At 40.9% G+C, this 22672-nt stretch overlaps 1 protein-coding gene and 1 long non-coding RNA gene across 11 annotated transcripts in view, besides 5 other annotated features; one reads left to right on the plus strand and one right to left on the minus strand.

Moving 5' to 3' along the window:
• LOC105374809 (uncharacterized) overlaps window positions 1-11079 on the minus strand; it is a 40654-nt gene extending 29575 nt beyond the window's left edge. For 8 of the 10 annotated variants that reach the window (NR_187883.1, NR_187881.1, NR_187884.1 and 5 more), the window contains exon 1: window positions 10932-11079. This is a non-coding gene — a long non-coding RNA (uncharacterized LOC105374809). Of the gene's footprint in view, window positions 1-4300; window positions 4364-10931 lie in introns of all 10 variants that reach the window. The other 2 variants (NR_187878.1, NR_187876.1) reach the window with 1 other exon arrangement.
• Window positions 10429-10929: an enhancer, noted in NCBI's record as "H3K27ac hESC enhancer chr2:75185356-75185856 (GRCh37/hg19 assembly coordinates)". NCBI's record gives its function as "activates a minimal SCP1, AML or CMV promoter by ChIP-STARR-seq in naive H9 embryonic stem cells {active_cell/tissue: H9 hESC(naive)}" and the evidence as "EXISTENCE:reporter gene assay evidence [ECO:0000049][PMID:30033119]".
• Window positions 10429-10981: a biological region, named in NCBI's record as "H3K27ac hESC enhancer GRCh37_chr2:75185356-75185856".
• Window positions 10722-10981: a silencer, noted in NCBI's record as "silent region_11676". NCBI's record gives its function as "represses an Ori minimal core promoter by ATAC-STARR-seq in GM12878 lymphoblastoid cells {active_cell/tissue: GM12878}" and the evidence as "EXISTENCE:reporter gene assay evidence [ECO:0000049][PMID:35858748]".
• POLE4 (DNA polymerase epsilon 4, accessory subunit) lies at window positions 10843-22328 on the plus strand. Its single transcript, NM_019896.4, has 4 exons — window positions 10843-11092; window positions 11541-11625; window positions 12305-12346; window positions 21609-22328. Exons 1-4 carry the CDS (start codon window positions 10880-10882, stop codon window positions 21620-21622), a joined length of 354 nt encoding a protein of 117 aa, NP_063949.2. The 5' UTR covers window positions 10843-10879; the 3' UTR covers window positions 21623-22328.
• Window positions 10930-11430: an enhancer, noted in NCBI's record as "H3K27ac hESC enhancer chr2:75185857-75186357 (GRCh37/hg19 assembly coordinates)". NCBI's record gives its function as "activates a minimal SCP1, AML or CMV promoter by ChIP-STARR-seq in naive H9 embryonic stem cells {active_cell/tissue: H9 hESC(naive)}" and the evidence as "EXISTENCE:reporter gene assay evidence [ECO:0000049][PMID:30033119]".
• Window positions 11052-11291: a silencer, noted in NCBI's record as "silent region_11677". NCBI's record gives its function as "represses an Ori minimal core promoter by ATAC-STARR-seq in GM12878 lymphoblastoid cells {active_cell/tissue: GM12878}" and the evidence as "EXISTENCE:reporter gene assay evidence [ECO:0000049][PMID:35858748]".
• Window positions 22329-22672: the final 344 nt, after the last annotated feature.

The following is a 22672-nucleotide window of genomic DNA, read 5'->3' on the forward strand; positions in this document are numbered from 1 at the left end:
AGCCTCTCAGCTGGAATCAGCTTAAGCCTACCAAACTCCCAGGAGGAGGGGTGACCAGCACCATGGCTGTGGCTGCCTGCTGTCTAAACTGTTTGAGCACCTTGGGGGAGGGGCAGCAGCCAGCATTGGGACTGGCAACTACCTAATATGGTAAGCTTCCTGGGTGGGGGAAGGGTGGAACCCATTTCTATAGCTCCAGTCTGCGCCTTTCCCCTGCTGGAGCCAGGGAGGCTGGATGGCTTGATCCCAAGACTTGTCCCCACAGCCCAACACACTGGATGTGGTAGTTTGCAGCCAGAGTATGTCTTCAGGCCTGACCCTGCCTGACCCATCCTTCCCCATTAGGTGGGGGTTTCCTGCAGGAATGCCAATAACTCCAGCCAGAGGCTCAGGGACAGAATCCGAATCTCCCTGGGCCTGAACCCCTAGGGGAAGGGGTGGCTGCAGTCTCTGTGGACCCGCAGACTTATCCTCTCCTCCTGGTAGTTCTGAGGAATCCGGGCAGCCTAGATGAGTGGGTTTCCCGCGAGTGAAGCACACTCCCTCCACCAATGGACAAAGTGCCTCTTTAAATGGGTTCTGTTTCCCGTGCCACCCAACTGGGGGAGCCCCTCCAACAGGGGTTGTCAGACACCCTATACAGGAGCGATCCTACTGGCATCAGGTTGGTGCCCCTCGAGGTCAGAGGTCTCAGAAGAAGGAGGAGGCACCCATCTTTGCTGTTCTCCAGCCTCCTTAAATGACATCTCCAAACACGGGAGTGAATTAGATGAATAGGGCCTGAAGTGAACCCTCGGCAAACTGCAGCAGCCCTACAGAAGAGAGACCTGACTATTGAAAGAAAAACAAACAAGCAGAAAGCAACAACAAGATCATCAACAACAGCAACAAAAAGCCCCCACAAAAACCCCATCCAAGGGTCAGTGGGCTCAAAGACTGAAACTAGACAAATTCACGAAGATGAGAAAGAATCAACAAAAATGCTGAAAACCCAAAAAGCCAGAGTGTCTCTTCTCCTCCAAATGATCGCAATGTCTCTCCATCAAGGGTGCAGAACTGGACGGAGCATCAGATGGATGACTTGACAGAAGTAGGCTTCAGAAGATGGGTAATAAAAAACTACACTGAGCTCAAGGGGCATGTTCTAACTCAATGTAAAGAAGCTAAGAGCCTTGCTGAAAGGTCAGAGGAATTGCTAACTAGAATAACCAGTTTAGAGAGGAACATAAATGACCTGACGGAGCTGAAAAAAACAGCACAAGAACCTCATGAAGCATATACAAGTATCTACAGCTAAACTGACCAAGCAGAAGAAAGGATTTCAGAGTTTGAAGACCGCCTTGCAGAAATAAGGCATGCAGACAAGAATAGAGAAAAAAGAATGAAAGGGACTTCCTAAAAAGACTGAACCTGCAATTGATTGATTGGAGTACCAGAAGGAGATGAGGAGAATGGAAATGAGCTGGAAAACACACCTCAAGATATTATCCAAGAGAACTTCCCTAACCTAGCAAGATAGGCCAACGTGCAAATTCAGGAAATACAGAGAACACCATTAAGATACTCCATGAGAAGATCAGCCCCAAGACACATGATCGTCAGATTCTCCAAGGTCAAAAAGAAGGAAAAACTGTTAAGGGCAGCCAGAGACAAAGGCCAGGTCACCTACAAAGGGAAGCCCATCAGACTAACAGCGGACCTGTCAGCAGAAACTCTATCAGCCAGAAGAGACTGGGGGCCAATATTCAACATTCTTAAAGAAAAGAATTTTCTACCCAGAATTTCATATCCAGCCAAACTAAGCTTCATAAGTGAAGGAGAAATAAAATCCTTTACAGACAAGCAAATGCTGAGGGATTTTGTTACCACCAGGCCTGCCCTGCAAGAGCTCCTGAAAGAAGTACTAAATATGTTAAGGAAAAACCAGTACTAGCCACTGCAAAAACACACCAAAATATAAAGAGCAATGACACTATGAAGAAACTGCATCGACTAGTGTGTAAAATAACCAAATAGCATCATGATGACAGGATCAGATTCACACACAACAATACCAACCTTAAATGTAAATGGGGCAAATGCCCAAATTAAAAGACATAGACTGGCAAATTGGATAAAGAGTAAAGACCCATTGGTGTGCTGTATTCAGGAGACCCATCTTATGTGCAAAGACACACATAGGCTCAAAATAAAAAGATGGAGGAAAATTTACCAAGCAAATGGAAAGCAAACAAAACAAAACAAACAAACAAAAAACAAAAAAGCAGGGTTGCAATCCTAGTCTCAGACAAAACAGACTTTAAACCAACAAAGATTAAAAAAGACAAAAAAGGGCATTACATAACGGTAAAGGGAACAATTCAACAAGAAGAGCTAACTATTCTAAATATATATACACCGGATACAGGAGCTCCCAGATTCATAAAACGAGTTCTTAGAGACCTTCAAGGAGACTTAGACTCCCACACAATAATAGTGGGAGACTTTAACACCCCACTGTCAGTATTAGACAGATCAGTGAGACAGAAAATTAGGAAGGATATTCAGGACTTGAACTCAGCTCGGAACCAAGTGGACCTAGTAGACGTCTACAGAACTCTCCGCCCCAAATCAACAGAATATACATTCTTTCAGTGCCACATGACACTTACTCCAAAATCGACCACATAATTGGAAGTGAAACACTCCTCAGCAAATGCAAAAGAACTGAAATCATAACAAACAGTCTCTCAGACCATAAAGCAATAAAATTAGAACTCAGGATTAAGGAAATGCACTCAAAACCACACAATTACATGGAAATTGAACAACCTGCTCCTGAAGGACTTTGGGTAAATAAGGAAATTAAGGCAGAAATCAAGAAGTTCTTTGAAACCAATGAGAAAGAGACAATGTACCAGAATCATATACAAAAATCAACTCAAGATTGATTAAAGACTAAAATGTAAAATCTAAATCTATAAAAACTCTGGGAGACAACCTAGGGAATATCATTCTGGACATAGGACCAGGTAAAGATTTCATGACGAAGATGCCAAAAGCAGTTGCAACAAAACCAAAAATTGACCAATGGTCAATTAAACGAAAGAACTTCTGCACAGCAAAATAAACTCCCAGCCAGGCATGGTGGCTCATGGTTGTAATCCCAGCACTTTGGGAGGCCGAGGCAGGTGGATCACTTGAGGCCAGGAGTTCAAGACCAGTCTGAACCCCATCTCCACTTAAAAAAAAAAAAAAATTAACCGGTGTGTGGTGGCGTGCACCTGTAATCCCAGCTACTCAGGTGGCTGGGGCATGAGAATTACTTGAACCCAGGAGGTAGAGGTTGCAGTGAGTCAAGATCATGTCATTGCTCATAGCACTCCAGCCTGGGTGACAGAGCAAGTCTCTTATCTCAAAAAAACAAAAAAACAAAAAAACAAAAAAAAAAAGAAGAGAGAGAAAAAGAAAGAAACTATCAACAAACCAAACAGACAACCTAAAGAATGGGAGAAAATATTTGCAAACTATGCATCTGACAAAGGTCTAATATCCAGAATCTATAAGGAACTTAAACCAAAAACTACCCAACCTTATTAAAAAGTGGGCAAAGAACATGAACAGACACTTTTCAAAAGAAACATACACACAGCCAACAAGCATGTGAAAAAATGTCCAACATCACTAATCATTAATGAAATGCAAATCAAACTACAAGGAGATACGATCTCATACCACTCATAAAGGCTATTATTAAAAAGTTAAAAAATAACAGATGTTCATAGGGTTGCAGAGAAAAAGGAACATTGATATACTGCTGGTGGGAATGCAAATTAGTTCAGCCATGTGGAAAGCAGTGTAGTGATTTCTCAAAGGACTTTAAACAGAATTACAATTCTACCCAGCCATCCCATTATTGGATATACACCCAAAGGAATCCAAATTGTTCCATCATAAAGACACATGCATGCACTATTCACACAATAGCAAAGACGTGGAATCAACCCAGATGTCCATCAAAGGTGGACTGGGTTAAAAAAAATGTGATACATATGCACCACGGAATACTAACACAGCCATAAAAAGACCAAGATCATATCTTTTGTAATAACGTGGATGGAGCTGGAGGCCATTATCCTAAATGAACTAACATAGGAACAGAAAACCAAATACTGCATATTCTCACTTATAAGTGGGAGCTAAACATTGAATATATGTGGACACAAAGAAGGGAACAATAGATACTTGGGCCTGCTTGAGGGTGGAGGGTGGGAGGAGCATGAGGATCAAAAAACTACCTATTGGGTACTATGCTTATTACCTGGGTGATGAAATAATCTGTACACCAAATCCCCATGACATGCAATTTACCTATATAATAAACCTGAAAAAAAAAGTTGAGAAAGTTTGAGAACTGCTGCCTAAACAATTCATTTAAACACTGAATTGATTAAGAGTAACATTTTCCTTTGTATCTTTTGTTTTTCTCTTTTCTTTTTCTAAACATGCTTTCCCCTTGTAATTAGTTTTTAAGTGCTTAAGTAATTCCTGCATCCCAGGATTTCCATGGACAAACTTATGATACTTTATTTTTGTCTCTTTATTTTTTCCTTTTAAAGAGTCTGGTGATTTTTTTTTTCTTTTTTGTTACCCTAGTATGCCCTCTATTTTCCCTATGATGTATTTAATCATTAACCTTCCAAATATGTGTCTGTATATGTATACATTTATGTACACATATATATTCATGCACAAATATAGATAAAATGATGCCCTGTTAAAATAAATAATTGGGAGGCCATTAGGCTGAGATGGCTCCACTGTCTCGGGTTTCTATACGGCCAAACTGAAACCTAACTCAGTGTGAACAGCCATATTGCAGGAAAACAAAGCTTAAGCTTAACCAGTCAGAAACTGTTGAGCTGGAATTTTTTCCTTGACCTTGTGGGAGGGAACTGGAGTAGCACATTTCATTCAGCCTGCCACTGGCCACTCCTCATGAGAGGGAGCATGTGAGCAAGAAGAGTGCAGGAACCAAAGTGAACTAATGCTGGAACTGGCCGGTTGCTCCTCTCTGGCGGGAGCCGGCTCTGTGCAGGGCCCTGTAGGAGTGTCCCAGCCCTTGTCCTCTTGGCATTTGGGTTCTTGTCCAGTGTCTAGGAAGAATCGTCACACGAATGAATTGAAGGTTGGCGTATGCAGAGGATTTTATTGTGTGATGGAAGTGGAAGTGGCTGTCAGCAGAATGGGGAGTTGGAAAGGGGATGGTGCGAGAAGAAGATCTTTGCCTGAAGCTGCACTGTCTGAAGTTAGCCACATCTGTCTGTAGTCTTAGATGCTCAGTTGCTTCTCTGCTCAGCCATTTGTATCCCTGATGCTCAGCTGCTTGTATCCTCAATGCCCAGCTTCTTGTGTCCCTGACGCTCAGCTGCTTGTATCTCTGACGCTCAGCTGCTTGTATTGCTCTGCCAGTTAAAGTTTTTTTATGGGCACAGGATAGGGGTGTGGCAGGCCAAAAAGGCAACATTCAGGTAGAAAAATGGGTCAGCTGTTTTCACTTAGGGCTGTAGTTCCAGGCTTAATGGTGGGGTTTAACTGAGAGCCCAGCCATTCTGTTATCACTGCCAACTCACCTCTAACTAGGAACTTTATGGCTACTGCTCTACTTTAACCAATCAAATATTTTCTTTGTCTTGTTCCTCAAATACTTTATAAAGCATCTCCCCTCCCCCTGCCTCAGTGGAGCCCAGACCCAGCTGTGGTTTGGCACTACCCGATTCATGAATCACTATCTGCTCAAATCAACTCTTTAAAATTTTAATGTGCCTAGGTTTATCTTTTAACAATACACACGTGTACATACAACACATATATGATTTTTTTTTAAAAAAATTCAGAAATGAAGTGATACTGGTTCCTCCACTAACTTATCTCCTGGATAGGACACTTACTCCAGTATGGTAGATGGCAAGCTGTCTTTAATCTTTAGCTTATTAGATAAAATACTTCACAAGTTAAAAGAAAACTTTAGACAAGTTAAATTTTACAGAGTTTAACTGAGCAAAAAATGATTCTCGAATCAGGCAGCCCCCAGAACCAGAATAGATTCAGTGTGATTTTAGGCCTGCCGCATGGTAGGATAACAAGGAAAATGATGTCCAGAAAATGGAAGTGAGGTACAGAAATAGCTGGAACGGTTACAGCTTGATGTTTGCCTTATTTGAACCTGGTTTGAACCTGGTTTGAGCAGCTGGCTGCCTGTAATTGGCTGAAACTTGGCTATTTCTTACAAGAGTAAGTGACCGTTTTCACATCAAGTTACCTTGCATTTCTCTACATATGAAGAAACCTTTAGGCCAAACTTAAACTATGTAAAGAGACAGCTTTAGGCCAAACTTCACTTAACACACATCATGTTTTTTTTGCATTAATTTTCATCACGTAGCCTTTTAAAGATATTTTTAGCCTTCATTCTATTTGGACTGGAATGCGAACCGTGTGTGCGTGTGTGGCTTTTTGAGCTTTTCAACCTTCGTCTTCCTGTTTCTTCTGCCTTTTTTCCACTGAAACTCAAAAACTGTGAAACGTGATTTCCCTTTCTAACACACCTTAGTGCTGTTCAATACTTATAGTCAGGAAGTCCTGTCTGGTCTCCATAAACTCTTGGTTAGTCATAGTCAAACCAGGGAGAGAAGGACTGCACCAAGTGGTGAGACATTCAAGTGATGAGGAAAAGAAAAGAAAAGAAAAAAAAAAGAACACGAAGGGGAACAAAAAAGGAGAAAAGGAGGAAAGGCAGGGAACATATGAATGAGACAAAATTGGGAAGAAAAGGGGGTTGAAATGAGAATCCTCTGAAAGCCAAGTTGACTCAGCCCTTTCAAGAACTCTTAACTCCTCCTGCCCGTTAAAGGTGTGTGAACCAGAGCAACTCCATCTTGAATAGGAGCTGGGCAAAATGAGGCTGAGACCTACTGGGCTGCATTCCAAGATGGTTAGGGCATTCTAAGTCAGCGGATGAGATAGGAGGTTGGCACGAAATACAGGTCATAAAGACCTTGCTGATAAAACAGTTTGCAGTAAAGAAGCCAGCTAAAACTTACCACCAAAACCAAGATGGCCAGGAGAGTGACCTCTGGTCGTCCTCACTGCTACACTCCCACAAGCACCATGACAGTTTACAAATGCCAGGGCAACATCAGGAAGTTATCCTATATGGTCTTAAAAGGGGAGACATGAATAATCCACCCCTTGTTTAGCAGATAATCAAGAAATAACCACAAAAATGGGCAACCAGCAGCCCTCAGGGCTGCCCAGCCAATGGAGCAACCATTCTTTTATTCCTTTACTTTCCTAATAAACTTGCTTTCACTTTACTTTATGGACTTGCCCTGAATTCTTTCTTGTGTGAGATTCAAGAACTCTCGCTTGGGGTCTGGATCAGAACCCCTTTCCTGTAACATTTTTCTGGTGACCACGAAAGGACTCTAGCAAGGAAACCCCTGACCCAAAGGCTAACTTTGGGTAAGTGGTGGGGTCCAGTAACACCCCCACCATTGTCAACTGTCTTATGTTAATTCAGAATTTAGGTCAATTTAGTACTTAGCTACTTTGCGATTGCTGGAGTATAGCTCTTGTGAGGTGTTCTTGTGCACTGTGACACAAGAATCTGGTCATGCTTTTATGAATTTTGTGTGGAGCTTTCCATGAGTGAGAGTGTCCATAAATGTAATCTGAAAAGAACCCAGGACTGAGGCCCTAATGGCTGCTCTGGTTCAATTTTCAGCAACTCATATCCTCTTCTGCAGATTTTAATTCTGGGCCAAGACTCTTATTCTGCTATAGTGGAGTGTCTCTGTGCTAATTCAGGGTTGGGGCTCATTACATGATACCCCAAAGTATGGTACTTTGGAATGCTGAGTACTTTGAACTGAAGAAAATTGGAAAGGCCTCAGAAGCAAGGTCTTTCTGAACTTCTCCTGTCCTGTTTTCCACTGTAAGCAGTAGAAGTTATTACAGTTACTGGCAGCAAATTGCAGCAACCTCGATTCTTGTCTCCTCAGAAGATGTCGACTGAGGGGCATAAGGCAAAAGAAGAGACTGAGGCAAGTTTTAAAGCAGGAGTGAAAATTTCTTAAAAAGCTTTAGAGCAAGAACGAAAGGAAGGAAAGTACACTGAGAAGAGGCCCAAGTGGGTGACTTGAAGGACAAGTGCAAGGTTTGACCTTTTGACTTGGGTTTTTATGTGTTGGCATACTTCTGGGGTCTTGCATCCCTTCTACCCTGATTCTTCCCTTGGGGTGGGTTGTCGAAATGCACAGTAGCCTGCTAGCGCTGGGGAGGGGAGCAAGTGCAGTGTATTTATTGAAGTTGTAAGCATGCTCACCTGAGGCGTTCTTCCCTTTTTCAGTAGAATGCCCCCAGAAGGTCATATATCAGTTAAATTCCACCATTTTGCCTCTTAGTGTGCATGCGTGAGCCCGCTCGCCCAACTCCTGAGATCTCATCAGGAAGCTCCTGATCATCAGTTTCAGGGTTTTTCTATCTATAGGGAAACTGCCTTTCCCTGGCGCTGGCTATGAGCAATTATTATTTTAGAGAGGCGGTGTGACCACTGTCTGACCATCACCTGATGATCTTCTGACATTCCTGGTGGAGCGTGGGGGCCCTATCCTGCCCTGTTCGTGTCTGACTAGCTACCCACTGTAACATCACCACTCTTCGCAGTGAGTCATGGAAACCAGAATTCCTCTTTCCCAACGCAGGTCATAGAAACTAGAATTCTCCTTCCTCCAAGCAAGTCGTAAAACCTAGAAAGGTTATTTTCTGCCTTCTCCCTTGAAGACCCTCATTCCAGAAGGGTCCTGCCCTAATACCAGAAGGAATGCTACACAGGGAGGCCAAGAAGAATATGAACAGACAGGCCTTGCTGGGTTTCCCCATTCAGTCTATTACCATTAGACTATTATCATTCCCTTTTTGTCCAATCCCATTTCTTTTTCTTTTTAAGACACAGGGTCTCTCTCTGTCGCCCAGGCTGGAGTGCAGTGGTGCAATCATTGCTCACTGTAACCTTGAACTCCTGGGCTCAAGCAACTCTCCCACCTCAGCCTCCCAAGTAGCTAGGACTATAGGATCACAATACCCAGCTAATTTGTGTGTGTGTGTGTGTGTGTGTGTGTGTGTGTGTGTGTGTGTGTAGAAATGGGGTCTCCATCTGTTGCCCAGGCTGGTCTCAAACTCCTGGGCTCAGGCGGTCCTCCTGCCTTGGCTTCCCAAAGTGTTGGGATTACAAGTGTGACCCACCGTACCAGGCCTCTAATCACATTTCTACACAGCGATCCCTTCTTCATATAACCTAAGCATAAAAATAGTTTCCTCTAGGTCTCATGGTCTGCATTTTTGGACTCTCATGTCATGTAAAACTTTGATTAGACTTGTTAGGCTTTTTGTGTGTGTTATAGGAGTGTCAGCTGTGACCCTTAAAATGGGTAAAGAAAGGTTTCACACCTTTCCACTCCTACACCAGTCAGAGTTTACTACATAATTTTGGAACTGAGTGATTTCAGATGTGTTTAATTCAGCTTCATCTTGGCTTCACCACATTCTGCCCTGTGTATGCGACTCAGTAACCACTCTGCACCTCAATTTTTTCAAATAAGGTTTGAAAAAGAAGGTTATAATATTTACCTCAATAGGGTATTGTGAAAATTACAGAAGTTATGATTTACATAAATCTAAAACACTTTGAATCATGCACATAGTAAATGTTTAAAGGTGTTCACTATTATTATGATTGACTTAGATTAAACCTATTTTAAATATTAACTGTTCCTCTACGCTATCAGACCTCCAAGTGTGGTGTGGGGATTCATGGGGGTGGGAATTTTCTGGAGACCCTTTTCAGGAGTCCATGAGGCCAAAATTATTTTCTTAATACTACTATGAGGTTGCCTTTTTCATTCACATTCTCTCAAGATGTAGTAGTTTTTTAAGAGCTACCTGAGAAGTGCTAACGTTAGCAACAGAAGCAGCTAGAGAATCCAGTTCTCACATGAAATCAGACATTAGAGACTTTTCTTACTAGATTTAAAAAAAATTACTTGTCATAAAAATGTTGTTTGTTAGCTGGTAACGCATTAGTAATTTTAAATCAATATTTTAAAACTTTAATTCTAATATAGTAAGTATTGATATAACTGACAGAAACAAAAGCTCCCTGGGCTCTTTAACAATCTTTAAGACCGTAAAGGGATCTTGAGGTCAAATTTGAGAACCAAAGCTGTGATGCAACCTCTTTTTGAACAAACGTGGATGCCTCACCACCACAATTTCATCTTTTCTAGCCTCCATGACTTTTTCTTGTTTCCTCTGGCTGGGCTGAATTTCTTCATTTCTGCCTGCCAAAAGCCCTACCCCTCCTTCAAGAGCATCTATAACTGGTTATCCTTGAATTTGGTCCAGATTTCGCTGCCTCCTTGGCACCCTCTTCCACGATGCTGGGCCCTCCAGGGCCGGGCCTCCCTCGGACACGTGCCCTCGTTAGCCTTGGAATATGCACACTCTGTTTTGACGGAGACTCTCTTGCGAGCCTGGTCTAGATTTCTCCCCTCACCAGCCAGGCACAGGCACCAATGGGAGGTGCCTGGGCTCCACAGGCCCGTCGGGGCCAGAGGGTCGCCGGTAGCGTCAACCAAGTGCACGACAGCCCACGGGTGGCTAGGCGCGTGGGAAGAGCCGGAGCCCGACCCCCGCCCACCCGGTTTCCTGGCAGCGCACTGCCGCGTAGGGGCGGAGCCGCGCGCCTACACAGGGTGTGGCCTCCAGCCCGCGCGGGAAAGGGCCTGCGCCGCATGCGCGCGCACAGTCGGCGGCCGCGCGCAGCACGCTCAAGGCCGGGATGGCGGCGGCGGCGGCGGCAGGAAGCGGGACGCCCCGAGAGGAGGAGGGACCTGCTGGGGAGGCAGCGGCCTCGCAGCCCCAGGCCCCAACGAGTGTGCCTGGGGCTCGTCTCTCGAGGTTGCCTCTGGCGCGAGTGAAGGCCTTGGTGAAGGCAGATCCCGACGTGACGCTAGCGGGACAGGAAGCCATCTTCATTCTGGCACGAGCCGCGGTGCGCCTGCAGCGCGAGGGCATGCGGGAGTGGGGGAGGTGGAGTGTGGGGCGGGGCCTCGGGGCCTCCCGCGGGCGGGGCTTAGGGCGGCGTGGCCCGGGTTTTGAGATGTGGGCGTGGACCCGGAAGGCGGAGGAAAGGGGCCGGGGACCTGTGCGAGTTTTGTTAACACTCCTCCCTCTTGTTGAGGACCTGGATAGTGAGTGACTTTAATTTGTATCTCCAGGGCCTCGTACAGAACTTGTAGGAGTCTTTAGTGAATGAGGGAGAATACTGGGAAGAGGGTAGCGGAATGGATCTTCATGAAGTCCAGGACAATCTTAGCTTCCAGAACATTTTCTTGCCCCGAGCCTTTCTTCTCCCTTTCTGCCCCCACCCACAAACCGGAGCCCTCACCTCCTCAGTGTGTTAGAACCCATTACTAAAACTTTGCTTTTTTACTTCACAGGAACTGTTTGTGGAGACCATTGCAAAAGATGCCTACTGTTGCGCTCAGCAGGGAAAAAGGAAAACCCTTCAGAGGAGAGACTTGGGTAGAGTGGCACTGCAGTGTCTGGGGACAGACAAGGGAGGGCTGGGCTGGTTTCCCCTTGTGCAGGTTGAGAAGACGTCACTCTGATCTGAGAGGTGCCACAGCGTCTCTCCCCAGGATGGTTTCTGTTGGCCACAGTGCCAGGAAGCCCTACCTGTAGAGGCTGTCTGCTTGGGGTGGCGGGGCAGTGTGTGAAGGTGTCTGGGGTTGCCGTAGCGGACTGGATCCCTTCATACCTTCTGCCAAATTGCACCAGAAAAAGATATTTCTTTTTCACCTAGCAACTGGGGATTTGATTTCTGACTCTTGTCTGGCTGGGAACCCTCACCTGGGTAAGATTTCGTATACCGTATTCTCATGCGCCCTGCGTCTATTGCCACGTTCTTCTCTGACAACTTTAAGAGCAAAGCGAATAAATAATTTAGGGGTAATTTAGGAGGCCCCCAACCCCCGCGTTGAATGGTATTTGCCTATGCTTTTCTTAACTCTTCTAGGGAGACAGCTAATATATATAAGAGTTGCTGGTAGAGTAGATATGGATCTCAAGGCAGCAAGGGACGCATCTTATAAATGCCCTCATTTGCCCAAAGCCTCATGCCCTTCACTGCAGATTGTGCTGTTTTCTGACTGAGGTCAGCATGGCTGAAGTTAGTCAGGTGTCTCTTTTCCTTGTGTTTCAGATAATGCAATAGAAGCTGTGGATGAATTTGCTTTTCTGGAAGGTGAGTTCCCTCTCAGTGGGCAATCATTTCCGCCTGTCTTTTGCATGTTGATGTGAAATTCAAAATCTCATAAAACGGATGCCTGCTTCTTGTTTGTGTAGGGATAATTCTCCGCACTTGCTATTAGGATAGAAAAAAGTAACTTGCTAAACCTAGTGAGGTTCAGTTTTCTCCCTTGGGGAATTAAAATTTCTACCTGAAAATTGCTAACCATAAAGAAATAGGAGGGAATATAAAGATCCCAGTGGAGTTAGATGAATTCGAAAGTTCGATTCCTACTTTGATCGCCATCCCTAAATGTCAGGCTTGCCCCCCCTCATCATGTTACAGATCAGAAACAATTGTTAACATTTAAAGGGTCACCGCTTGTTCTTTTTTCTTCAACAATCTGTGTGAAGTGATTATTTTGCTGCAATAAGACTTGTACTTGTCTGTATTTTTAGGAGTCATGGATTAACTTGTGTACTAACTAAATTTTGTCATTAAAAAAGAAAATATTTGAAATACCTAATTTTAGCTACCTAGCCTCAGAGCGATTTCTGCTACTTAATTCTTCAGTCTGATCAGCTTACTCTTCACTACACGTATGTAGTCATGTGCTGCGTAATAACTTTTTGGTCAGCCATGGACTGCTCACATGAGGGTGGTCCCATCAGATTATAATGGAGCTGAAAAATTCCTTTTGCCCAGTGAGGTAGTGGTCATAACATCCTAATGAAATACATTACCTTTTCTATGTTTAGATTTGTTTAAATACACTTATCCTCATGTTACAGTTGCCTACAGTATTCAGTACAGTAACATGCTGTTCAGGTTTGTAACCTGACAACAATAGGTATACCCTGTAGACTAAGTGTGTAGTAGGCTATACCATCTAGCTTTGTGTAAGTACCCTCTATGGTGTTCACACAGTGGTGAAATCGCCTGAAGATGTGATGCATTTCTCAGGATGTATCCTTGTTGTTGAGCGACACATGTATTTTGATTGAATAGCTTAGCAAAAGCCATGTATCCTTATTCTCCCAGGGTGTTCTCATTACCTCCTTCAAGCCTTATTACCTTTAGAAATATCTTGATTTATTCCACTCTTTTTTACTCCTTTGTTCTGCATCTCCCTGTCAACCTAGGCCCCTGGTCCTTTTGATAGATATTTTTTAAATGTCTTATTAGATAGATAGACTACCATGGCCAACTCTATGTCTAGACTATTGAGCATTCTTTTAATTTGCAGATTTTTCTTCAGCCTCTCTTTCCACCTACTCATTTTTCTTAAAATTAACTTTTGTTAGTCCTACCTAAGGCAGGCACTCCTTGTGACAGACTTTCTGTAAGTTCTGCAGTCAAAAATGTTTGGAGCCTACTTTACCTCTTCATTTTTAATTACCAGCTTTTCAAAGACATGAGTGATATGATCAGATTTGTATTTTAAGTGCACAACATTGCTGCCCTGGGGAAAATAAACTGGAGGGTACTAGGAATAGAAGTGGGGTGGTCTTATGTAGTTTTCCACTCTAGCCTCTATCACAGCATAGTGCTTAGCTTGGATTTTTAATAAATGGCCATTTATTGAATGATTGGTGTGTTTATTTTCATCCTCTGCCTTCATCCTCATTTATCTCTGTAATTGAATCCCTTTGCTCTGTCCTACATTGGTAGATCTGAATGTTAGCCATCATAGCCCCTGTGGATTCAGTCTGCATTATATTATTTTTTACTGGGTAAAATAAATGTTCTTATGTCCTTAGGTGTGTATGGTCTAAGTAAATACATTTTTTTCGTTTTTATAATACATATCCATACTTGAAAATCAAATCGTTACCTAATGGCTTATAATGAAGTACAGCTGCCGTCCACCCACTGTTTTGTTTGTGTTTTGAGCTTTTCTGGTGGTTACGTTTATTTCTAACTAATATGCTTACCCATTGGTTTGTCAGCTGTAGACGGTATGTATTGACTTCCTGCTGTGATAAATGAAGATTTGGCTAACCTGTAGAACCCCATAAATCCCCTGCTGTCTTTCTGATTTTTGGTAGTTGTATCACTAGTTTTAGTTTCTTTACCTTTACAGTTTATATAACATACTAGGATGTCTTTGGTTGTTGTGTCCAATTTTTAATGTATTCCTTGACTCCCCAGTTTGTAAAGTATGACTATTAGTGCATGTATCCCTTTTCCCTTTCTAGTTCACATCTAGCTATCAATTTGTGTTATCTAGTAATTTGACATTGTCAAAGCTAATAACATTTGTATCTTATCACAATTAAATCTTCCATGCTTTATCTCTGGTTGATTGTAGAAGTTGAAAACTAGGACTGTAAACAGTCTTTCTCTACCTTCTCTCTGTCCCTTAATTCCTCATTCAGGTCCCCTCCCTGCAAACAACTGTTACTAGTTTTCTTCTGTAATCTGGATATTTTATGCAAATATGTTTGTATGTGTATATGTATATTCTTTTTCTAAGTCATATGAAATACAACGTATGTAAAGTGTGTGCTGTAAATGTAAAGTCAATAAATGATAAAATGAACACTCTCGTAACCACCATCTTGGCCAAGAGATAGGGTATTGTCAGCCCCCAGAGTCCCACGTATATTCATTCTTCATCATACCTATTCTCATCCCCTTTCCCGACATTACTGTTTCCTAACTTTTTTGGTAATTACTTCCTTTTCTTTATAGCTTACTATATAAGCATGCATCCCTGAACACTAAGGTTTAGTTTTGTTTTGTTGAACTCTCTGCAAATGGAACCAAACCGTATGCATTCGTTGGCCAACATCTGTCACACAACTGTTTTAAGTTAACACATTTATGAGATTCATCTGTGTGATTGCACATAACTCATTTGTTCGTGTTCCTTGCTATATGACAGTACCACAATTGAACTATTTTAATGTTGATATTTGGGAAACCTTATTTCTCCTATTATAAACAATTTGCTGTGAACAATCTTGTACATATTTCTCTAGGGTGGATGTATATGTGTGTATAAAATATATAATACTGCTGGGACCTAGGCTATATAGAGTATTCGTATCTCCATCTTTGGCAGGTACTGCTGAACTTCCTGTATTCCAATTCACGTTCCTACCAGCAGTGCATGATAATTCCCATTGCTTCTCATTCTTACCCACACTTGGTATTACCAGAGTTTTTTATTTTTGACAAGCTGTTATTGAATGTAAGTGATAGTTGCATGTGGTGTTAATTCGTATTGCCCTGATTGTGGGTGACATTGGGCGTCTTTTCATATACATGCCCATTTTTTTTTGAGGGGTGTCTTCTATTTTTCTGTTAGCTATTTTTGTCCTTTTTCTTATTGACTTATAAAAATGCTTGCTGTATTTTATTTCATTTTTATTTATTTATTTTTTTGACGTGGAGTCTTGCTTTGTCATCCAGGCTGGAATGCAGTGGCATGATCTCTGCTCAATGCAGCCCCCCCTCCCACGTTCAAGAGATTCTCACGTAACTGGGACTACAGGCGTGTACCACCACGCCTGGCTAATTTTGGCATTTTTTTGGTAGAGATGGGGTTTCACTGTGTTGGCCAGGCTGGTCTCGAACTCCTGACCTCAAGTGATCTGCCTGCCTCCGCCTTCCAAGGTGCTGGGATTACAGGTGTGAGCCACTGCGCCCAGCCGTGCTTGTTATATTTTAGATATGAATCTTTTTTAGTATATGAGACGTATCTTTTCCTGCCTTTTCACTCCTTAAAAGGTTGTCTTTTGATACGCATTAAAATATAAAGGTAATCAAATGTATCAATTTTTTTCCTTATAACTAATGCTATTTGTGTTCATTTTAGAAAATATTCCCTACTGTATTGTCATGAAGACATTCTGTATATGCTAAAATCTTTATAGTTTTGTCTTTCATAACAGTGGAGTTGAATTTTTGTGTATTGGGTTGGGGGTCCAGTCTCATTTGTGTCTTCATATTTAGATATCCGCTTGTCCATATCGTCATCTCACTGCTTTGCAGTGCTACCTTTCTTATCAATCAAGGCTGTTTCTGGCCTTTCTGTTCTCTTCCATTGATCTATTTGTATCTCTTTTCCATTGATGGGTATTCTCACATCAGTACTATACTGTCTCAGTTATGGTAGCTTTATCTGAGAGAGCAGATCTTCCCACCTTGTTTTTTTCTAAGTATCTTTGCTATTTTTGAATCTTTGCATTTTCATGTACATTTTAGAATCTGTCAAATTCCACAAAAAGAGATATTAATTGGGATTGTATTGAATTTATAAATTACTGTGGGGAAGAAACGATATCTTTACAATAGTGAACCTTTCATTTTATAAATATGGTCTACTTTAACATTTATTAATATTTAGTTTTTAATAAATTATTTTACCTGAAGAAATCTTGATGTATTTTGTTAAATGTTGTTCTGTAAGTACTTAATATTTTTGATGATATTGTTAATGGTATCTTTCTAAAGAAAATTTTATTTTCTAAATATTGCTGTTTTTAGAAATATAATTGATTTTATGTTAATTTTGCAACTAGCATCTTTCTTAGCTGTTATTCTTAGTTTTTTTACTTAAAAATTTTGTTTTGATGTAGTTCTTAATAATTTGAATGACATATCTGTTGATTTTTGAATTTCTTTAATTACATAGTAGTATATCATCTGCCAATAATAATAATTTTGTGAAGTTCTTTCCAATCCTTATCTTTATATATTTTTTTCTTGCCCTACTGAACTGGCTAGAATCTCTAGTACAGTGTTGCATGGAAGTGGTAAGAGCAGGCATTTTTGACTTCCAAGGGAAAGCTTTCAGTATTTACCTAGTAATTATGCTTACTGTAGATTTTATGTAGATTTTTTAACAGATTATGAATGTTGCATCCCTGTTTATAAAAGAGATTAGTCTTTTTTTTTCATACTGTGTGTGAGCTTCATACAATTCATTGGCAATTATACACTTTTTATCTATTTTTTTTTTTTTTTTGGTGGGGGATGGAGTCTCACTCTGTTGCCCAGGGTGGAGTACAGTGGTACGATCTCAGCTCATTGCAACCTCTGCCTCCTGGGTTCAAGTGATTCTCCTGCCTCAGCCTCTCGAGTAGCTGGGATTACAGGCTCGCACCACCACACCCCAATAATTTTTGTATTTTAGTAGAGATGGGGTTTTGCCATGTTGGTCAGGCTGGTCTTGAACTCCTGACCTCAGGTGTTCAAGGTCCACCCGCCTCAGCCTCCCAAAGTGTTGGGATTACAGGCGTGAGCCACCGCGCCTGGCCCACTTTTTATCTTATCTATTCTCTGGAAAACTTATTGAAAGATTGGAATTATTTTGTTTTTGAATATTTGATGGAATTCAGTGATGCTGTTAGAGGGGTTGCAATGCCAAATTTGGTTATTGTATAATTTAGATTTTCTGTGTTCTTACTGAATTTCTTCTGTCTGCTTATTTTACCTGTTTCAAAGAGTTATGTGTTAAAACTCTACTGCTATGATTATGGACTATTTCTACTTATATTTCTGGGTCTATTCTTTCATTATATATTATGAAACCATGTGATTAGATATATACAAATTTAATGTTGTTATATATTGTTGGTGATTGAGCCTTTTATATTTGTAAATTGGCTATTGTTATTTCTAACTGCTTTGAGCCCTAAAGTCTATTTTGTTTAATATTATTAAAGCTTATCAGCTTTCTTTAGTTAGTATTTATTTGCACGGTACGGATTTTTGTAAATCTTTTAATTTTTATCTTTCCATATATTTGTGAACAGAATTTAACTGGATTATTTTCCTAAATTCAGACAGTCTGTGTCTATAACTGGAGCACGTCATTTATTTATGTTTAATGTAATTGGTCATATCTATGAGTTTGAATTCTATTGTCTTATTTTGTCCTGCTTTTTATTTGCTTGTTTTATGTTTTGTTTTTTTTTTCTCTCAATTTTTGGCCTTCTTTTGGATTATTATTTGATTTTTTTCCCTCTATCAGCTTGGAAGTTATATGCTCTATTTCTATTCTTTTAGTGATTATCAGTTACTATGTAAGTCCTTAATTTATCAAAGCCTATTTAGTACCTTTCCCCTCATTCTCAACAAATTGAGATCTCAGGATCCATTAACTCAATTTTCAAATTCCTCGTCTCCTAATTTATGTGCTGTTATTGTCATGTATTTTTGTTTTGTCTTTGTCAATCTACATAAGGCATTTTTATTCCTGAATTATGCAGTCAATGATATATGGATTTAGTCACATACTACCTTTGCTTTTCTTTCCTTTCTGGATTATTATTATTTTTGAGACAGTTTCATTTCGTCACCCAGGCTGGAGTGCAGTGGTGCGATCTCAGCTCACTGCAACCTCTGCCTCCTGGGTTCAAGTGATTCTCATGTCTCAGCCTCCCAAGTAGCTGGAATTACAGGCATGCACCACCAAGCCTGGCTAGTTTTTTTTGTATTTTTAGTAGAGATGGGGTTTCACCATGTTGACCAGGCTAGTCTCAAACTCCTGACCTCAAGTCATCTGCCTGCCTTGGCCTCCCAAGTGCTGGGATTACAGGCGTGAGCTGCTGTGCTTGGCCTCCTTTCTGTATTTCCGATCCTCCATTTGTGATCATTTTCTTCTTCCTGAAATAAATCATTTAGAACTTCATTTAGTATGGTCTGGTAACTGACTCTCTCATTTTTTTCTTATGAAAATGCCTTGAATTTCATTGTTGGAGGATAATTTGTTGAATATAAATTCTAGGTGGAAAATTATTTTCTTTTAGCACATTGAAGCTATCATTTTACTGCTTTTTTTTTTGGCTTCTATGTTTTCTATAGAGAAATTACCTGTTTGTAATTCTTTTGAAGCTAGTTTATCCTTTTTGTTTTTTGTCTGCTTTTAAGATTTTCACTTTGATTTTCTGTGGTTTCACTCTGATGTACAGAGGTGTGGATTTCTTTTTATGTAGTTTGTTTGAGCTTCTTGAATCTATAGATTAATGTCTTTCATCTGTCCTGGAAAATTCTCAGCGAGTGTCTCTTCAGCTATTGGCTCTGCCTTGTTCTTTCCTGTGTCTCTCTCTGGGATTCCCATTAAATATATGTAAAAACTCAATCATAATTTTGCCTCTCTAGTATGCATTCTGTGTAATTTTTTCTGATCTTCCAGTTTATTCTCTCCATTTGTCTCATTTCCTTTAAACTATTTTTTTTGTTTTTTTTTTTTAGTTTCAGTTTTTGTATTTTTCAGTACTGTGAGTTCTGTTTGGTTCCTTTCCAAATCTGTTGTCTTTTTTTTTAGCTTAATAAAGTATCAAGCAATTTTTGTGAGTACTTTTTGTTGTTCTTATTTTCTGCAGGTATTTTGAAGTTTGTCTTTTAGTTCTGTAAACATAGTAAACACAGTTGTTTTATAGTGAATGTTCCATCCAATATATGACCTAATATTCAAAGCCTTTTGAGTTTTTTGTTTGCTAGTCTGTGCCGAATCTAACATCCATAGTCTCTTGAGACTGTCTTTTTGTCTGTTGTTTCTTTTGGTACTGTCACATGGCCTTTTATCCCCCTATATGCCTATCTTTGGATAATGGTTATTTTCTTTAAAAAGTATTTGTTAGATAAGTTGAGGCCATATGGTGATACTTTCTCCAAAGAAAATTTCCATTTGCTCCTGAAGCCACCTACAGCCATTATCAGTGCAGGACTTCTGAATCCAGATCTAAGACTTGAAGGTTTCTGGACTATCATACTGATATGAACTCAGGCTGCAGGCCTGTGAAGGGGCACTGATTAAATTCCAGTTCGTCCTTACTCTGAGGGGGCAGCCTTTTGGGCTCTAGCTTAAGAAAGATGGGTGTCAGACTTCCTTACTTGGGTAGACTCAGGGATTTGACTCTTGGTTCCTTCAGCCTACACAAATAACCGCCCAGTTTCTCAGCTTTTTCAGATTGGCAGATGTCATGAGAGCAGAAGTAACATTAGAGGCTGGGTTTGTTTTGTGTTCTTACTGTCTCTAGATTTCACATTTGCTTTTTCTTGATGTCTCTTCAATTCCTGAAGATTTCCTTTTCTTATATATTTTATTTAGCTTTCTCAGTTGATCTCAACAGGAACTTGCCATTATGAAAAGCACCTCTATTTTTTTTTAAATTAGAAGTGTTTTTGCTTTATTTTTCTTATGTTTTTATTTTCCCTATATTATCTAGGTCATTAAAAAAAGTTTTGGTATCCTTTCAACTGTGTAGCTTTCTTCAGATACCTGGTGATTTTCATTCTATTTAAGAATAAGGGAATAAGGCTGTTTGGTAACTGTGTGTGTGTGTATGGGATGAGGGGGTGGTTGTTGCCTGGCAGCTTTGCTTTAGGGTGAACAGGGGTGGGACCAGATGTTGTCCTGGGTGACCCCGAGGGTATGAATGCAGAATGCTTTGCTGTGGGAAGCTGGCAGTTTTAGAGGCTGTTCTAGTTTTCTCCATATAGTTCATTTGGTTCTTTAGAAGAGAGCCCTGTGATCTTTGTTTTTTTTTTTTTTCCAAGTTAGGTTTAAATGCCTGTCTTCTGGTTGTCCTGCCTGTGGGGAGGGTTGTGGGGAGATAGGGGCAACTGTTTGTCATACAGACCCTCTGGTCATTAACCCATTTTCATCTCACATCACCATTCCTGGTGACTTGAGCCTGGAGCTTCCTCATGGTTCTTTTAGGCATATGGGCCTCCTTTTCTGCTGCAGCCCCCTCTGTTCATTCTAGGCTCCTTTTTCCTCTGCTCTATTTATAAGCATACTTTGATCAGGTTTCTGTTACTCAGTTTTTTGTTGAAATCCATTAACTGCCAGTGGGCCCCTATTTGTTGTAGATTTATACTTTTTAAACTTTTTTACCTTTTGAATGGAATCTTGGATGGGAGGGCATACGTACTTGTGGGCCCAGTCCCCCATCTGGAACTGAAACTTTCTAAAAAGATTATAAACTCTTTAATTAGAGAGTTTACCTCATTTATTTTATATTCTTTTCTTATATGGTCTTCATCAATGTTCATTAACTAACACAACGACTTCTTAGCCCTTTTCCCACTTCTAATTCTAGCTCTTCCGACTAGTATGCTTAATTCCTAACTGCCCACCATCTGTAATGACATGTTTTCCCTGGGGATATTTTGGATGGATCATCCTCAAAATTAGTATTTTGGTCTTAGAGAACTGCTGCCAATACCGGAGCCTCTTCTGCATTAAGTTTGCCCAGCTTGTTACACTAATCCAGCTTCTGAGGTCCCCTGATATACTCATTGCTCTTTGTATGTTTAGGTACTTTAGATTGATTGCCGAGCGGGGCAGTTTTGTGAGCCTTCATCTGAAGCCTTCAGTTCACCCCTCTGCACAGGCCTCAGCTTTGAAGAACGGAGTCTTTGCACTTACACACACTCTTCCTGTTCTGCCTTCACCTATGCCGGGATAAGCAGAGATCTCATCAATTAGCTCTTCTCTGCAAGGTCTTCCACTATTTCTGTCTGTCTTCCATATCAAGCCTGGATGCAGCTGCTGCTGCTTAGAGCAGAGATGAAGAAAGTGTTCTGCATAAGTGGCTTCCTGAATGATGAGGACCAGAATAAAGGTTTTTGATCAACCTCAGTCCAGTGTGTTTTATAATCTCGCCTTTGTTCCTACCCTGTGACTGGAGAGTCACCATACCTGGTCACAGACCTTCCTGATCTTCCCTGCCAGCCATTCTAACATACAGTCCTTTCATTAATTTTGTTCTTTTATTTTTCCAGCACATCACCAGAAAGTGGTTCCAGAATTTATGGAACACCACTTGCCCTCAGGAGTTCAAATAAATATGGTCCTAGATTGAAAGCCAGTTAAATTTTTTTTAAGTTTTATTTATTGACATATCCACATACTCTATATTTCACCAATTTAAAGTGTACAATTCAGTGGTATTTAGTATATTCACAAATATGTACACCAGTCATCACAGTCGATTTTAGAACATTTTATTTATTTATTTATTATTATTATACTTTAAGTTTTAGGGTACATGTGCACAATGTGCAGGTTAGTTACATATGTATACATGTGCCATGCTGGTGCGCTGCACCCACTAACTCGTCATCTAGCATTAGGTATATCTCCCAGTGCTGTCCCTCCCCCCTCCCCCCACCCGACAACAGTCCCCAGAGTGTGATGTTCCCCTTCCTGTGTCCATGTGTTGTCATTGTTCAGTTCCCACCTATGAGTGAGAATATGTGGTGTTTGGTTTTTTGTTCTTGCGATAGTTTACTGAGAATGATGATTTCCAATTTCATCCATGTCCCTACAAAGGACATGAACTCATCATTTTTTATGGCTGCATAGTATTCCATGGTGCA

This window comes from Homo sapiens, chromosome 2 (genome assembly GCF_000001405.40).
Source record: "Homo sapiens chromosome 2, GRCh38.p14 Primary Assembly".
Taxonomy (NCBI): Eukaryota; Metazoa; Chordata; class Mammalia; order Primates; family Hominidae; genus Homo; species Homo sapiens.

Coding starts and splice junctions, on each gene's coding strand:
- POLE4 (NM_019896.4), top strand. CDS start 10,880: ATGGCGGCGGCGGCGGCGGCAGGAAGCGGGACGCCCCGAGAGGAGGAG. Junction 11,093..11,540: donor TCATTCTGGCACGAGCCGCG/GTGCGCCTGCAG, acceptor TTTACTTCACAG/GAACTGTTTGTGGAGACCAT. Junction 11,626..12,304: donor CCTTCAGAGGAGAGACTTGG/GTAGAGTGGCAC, acceptor CTTGTGTTTCAG/ATAATGCAATAGAAGCTGTG.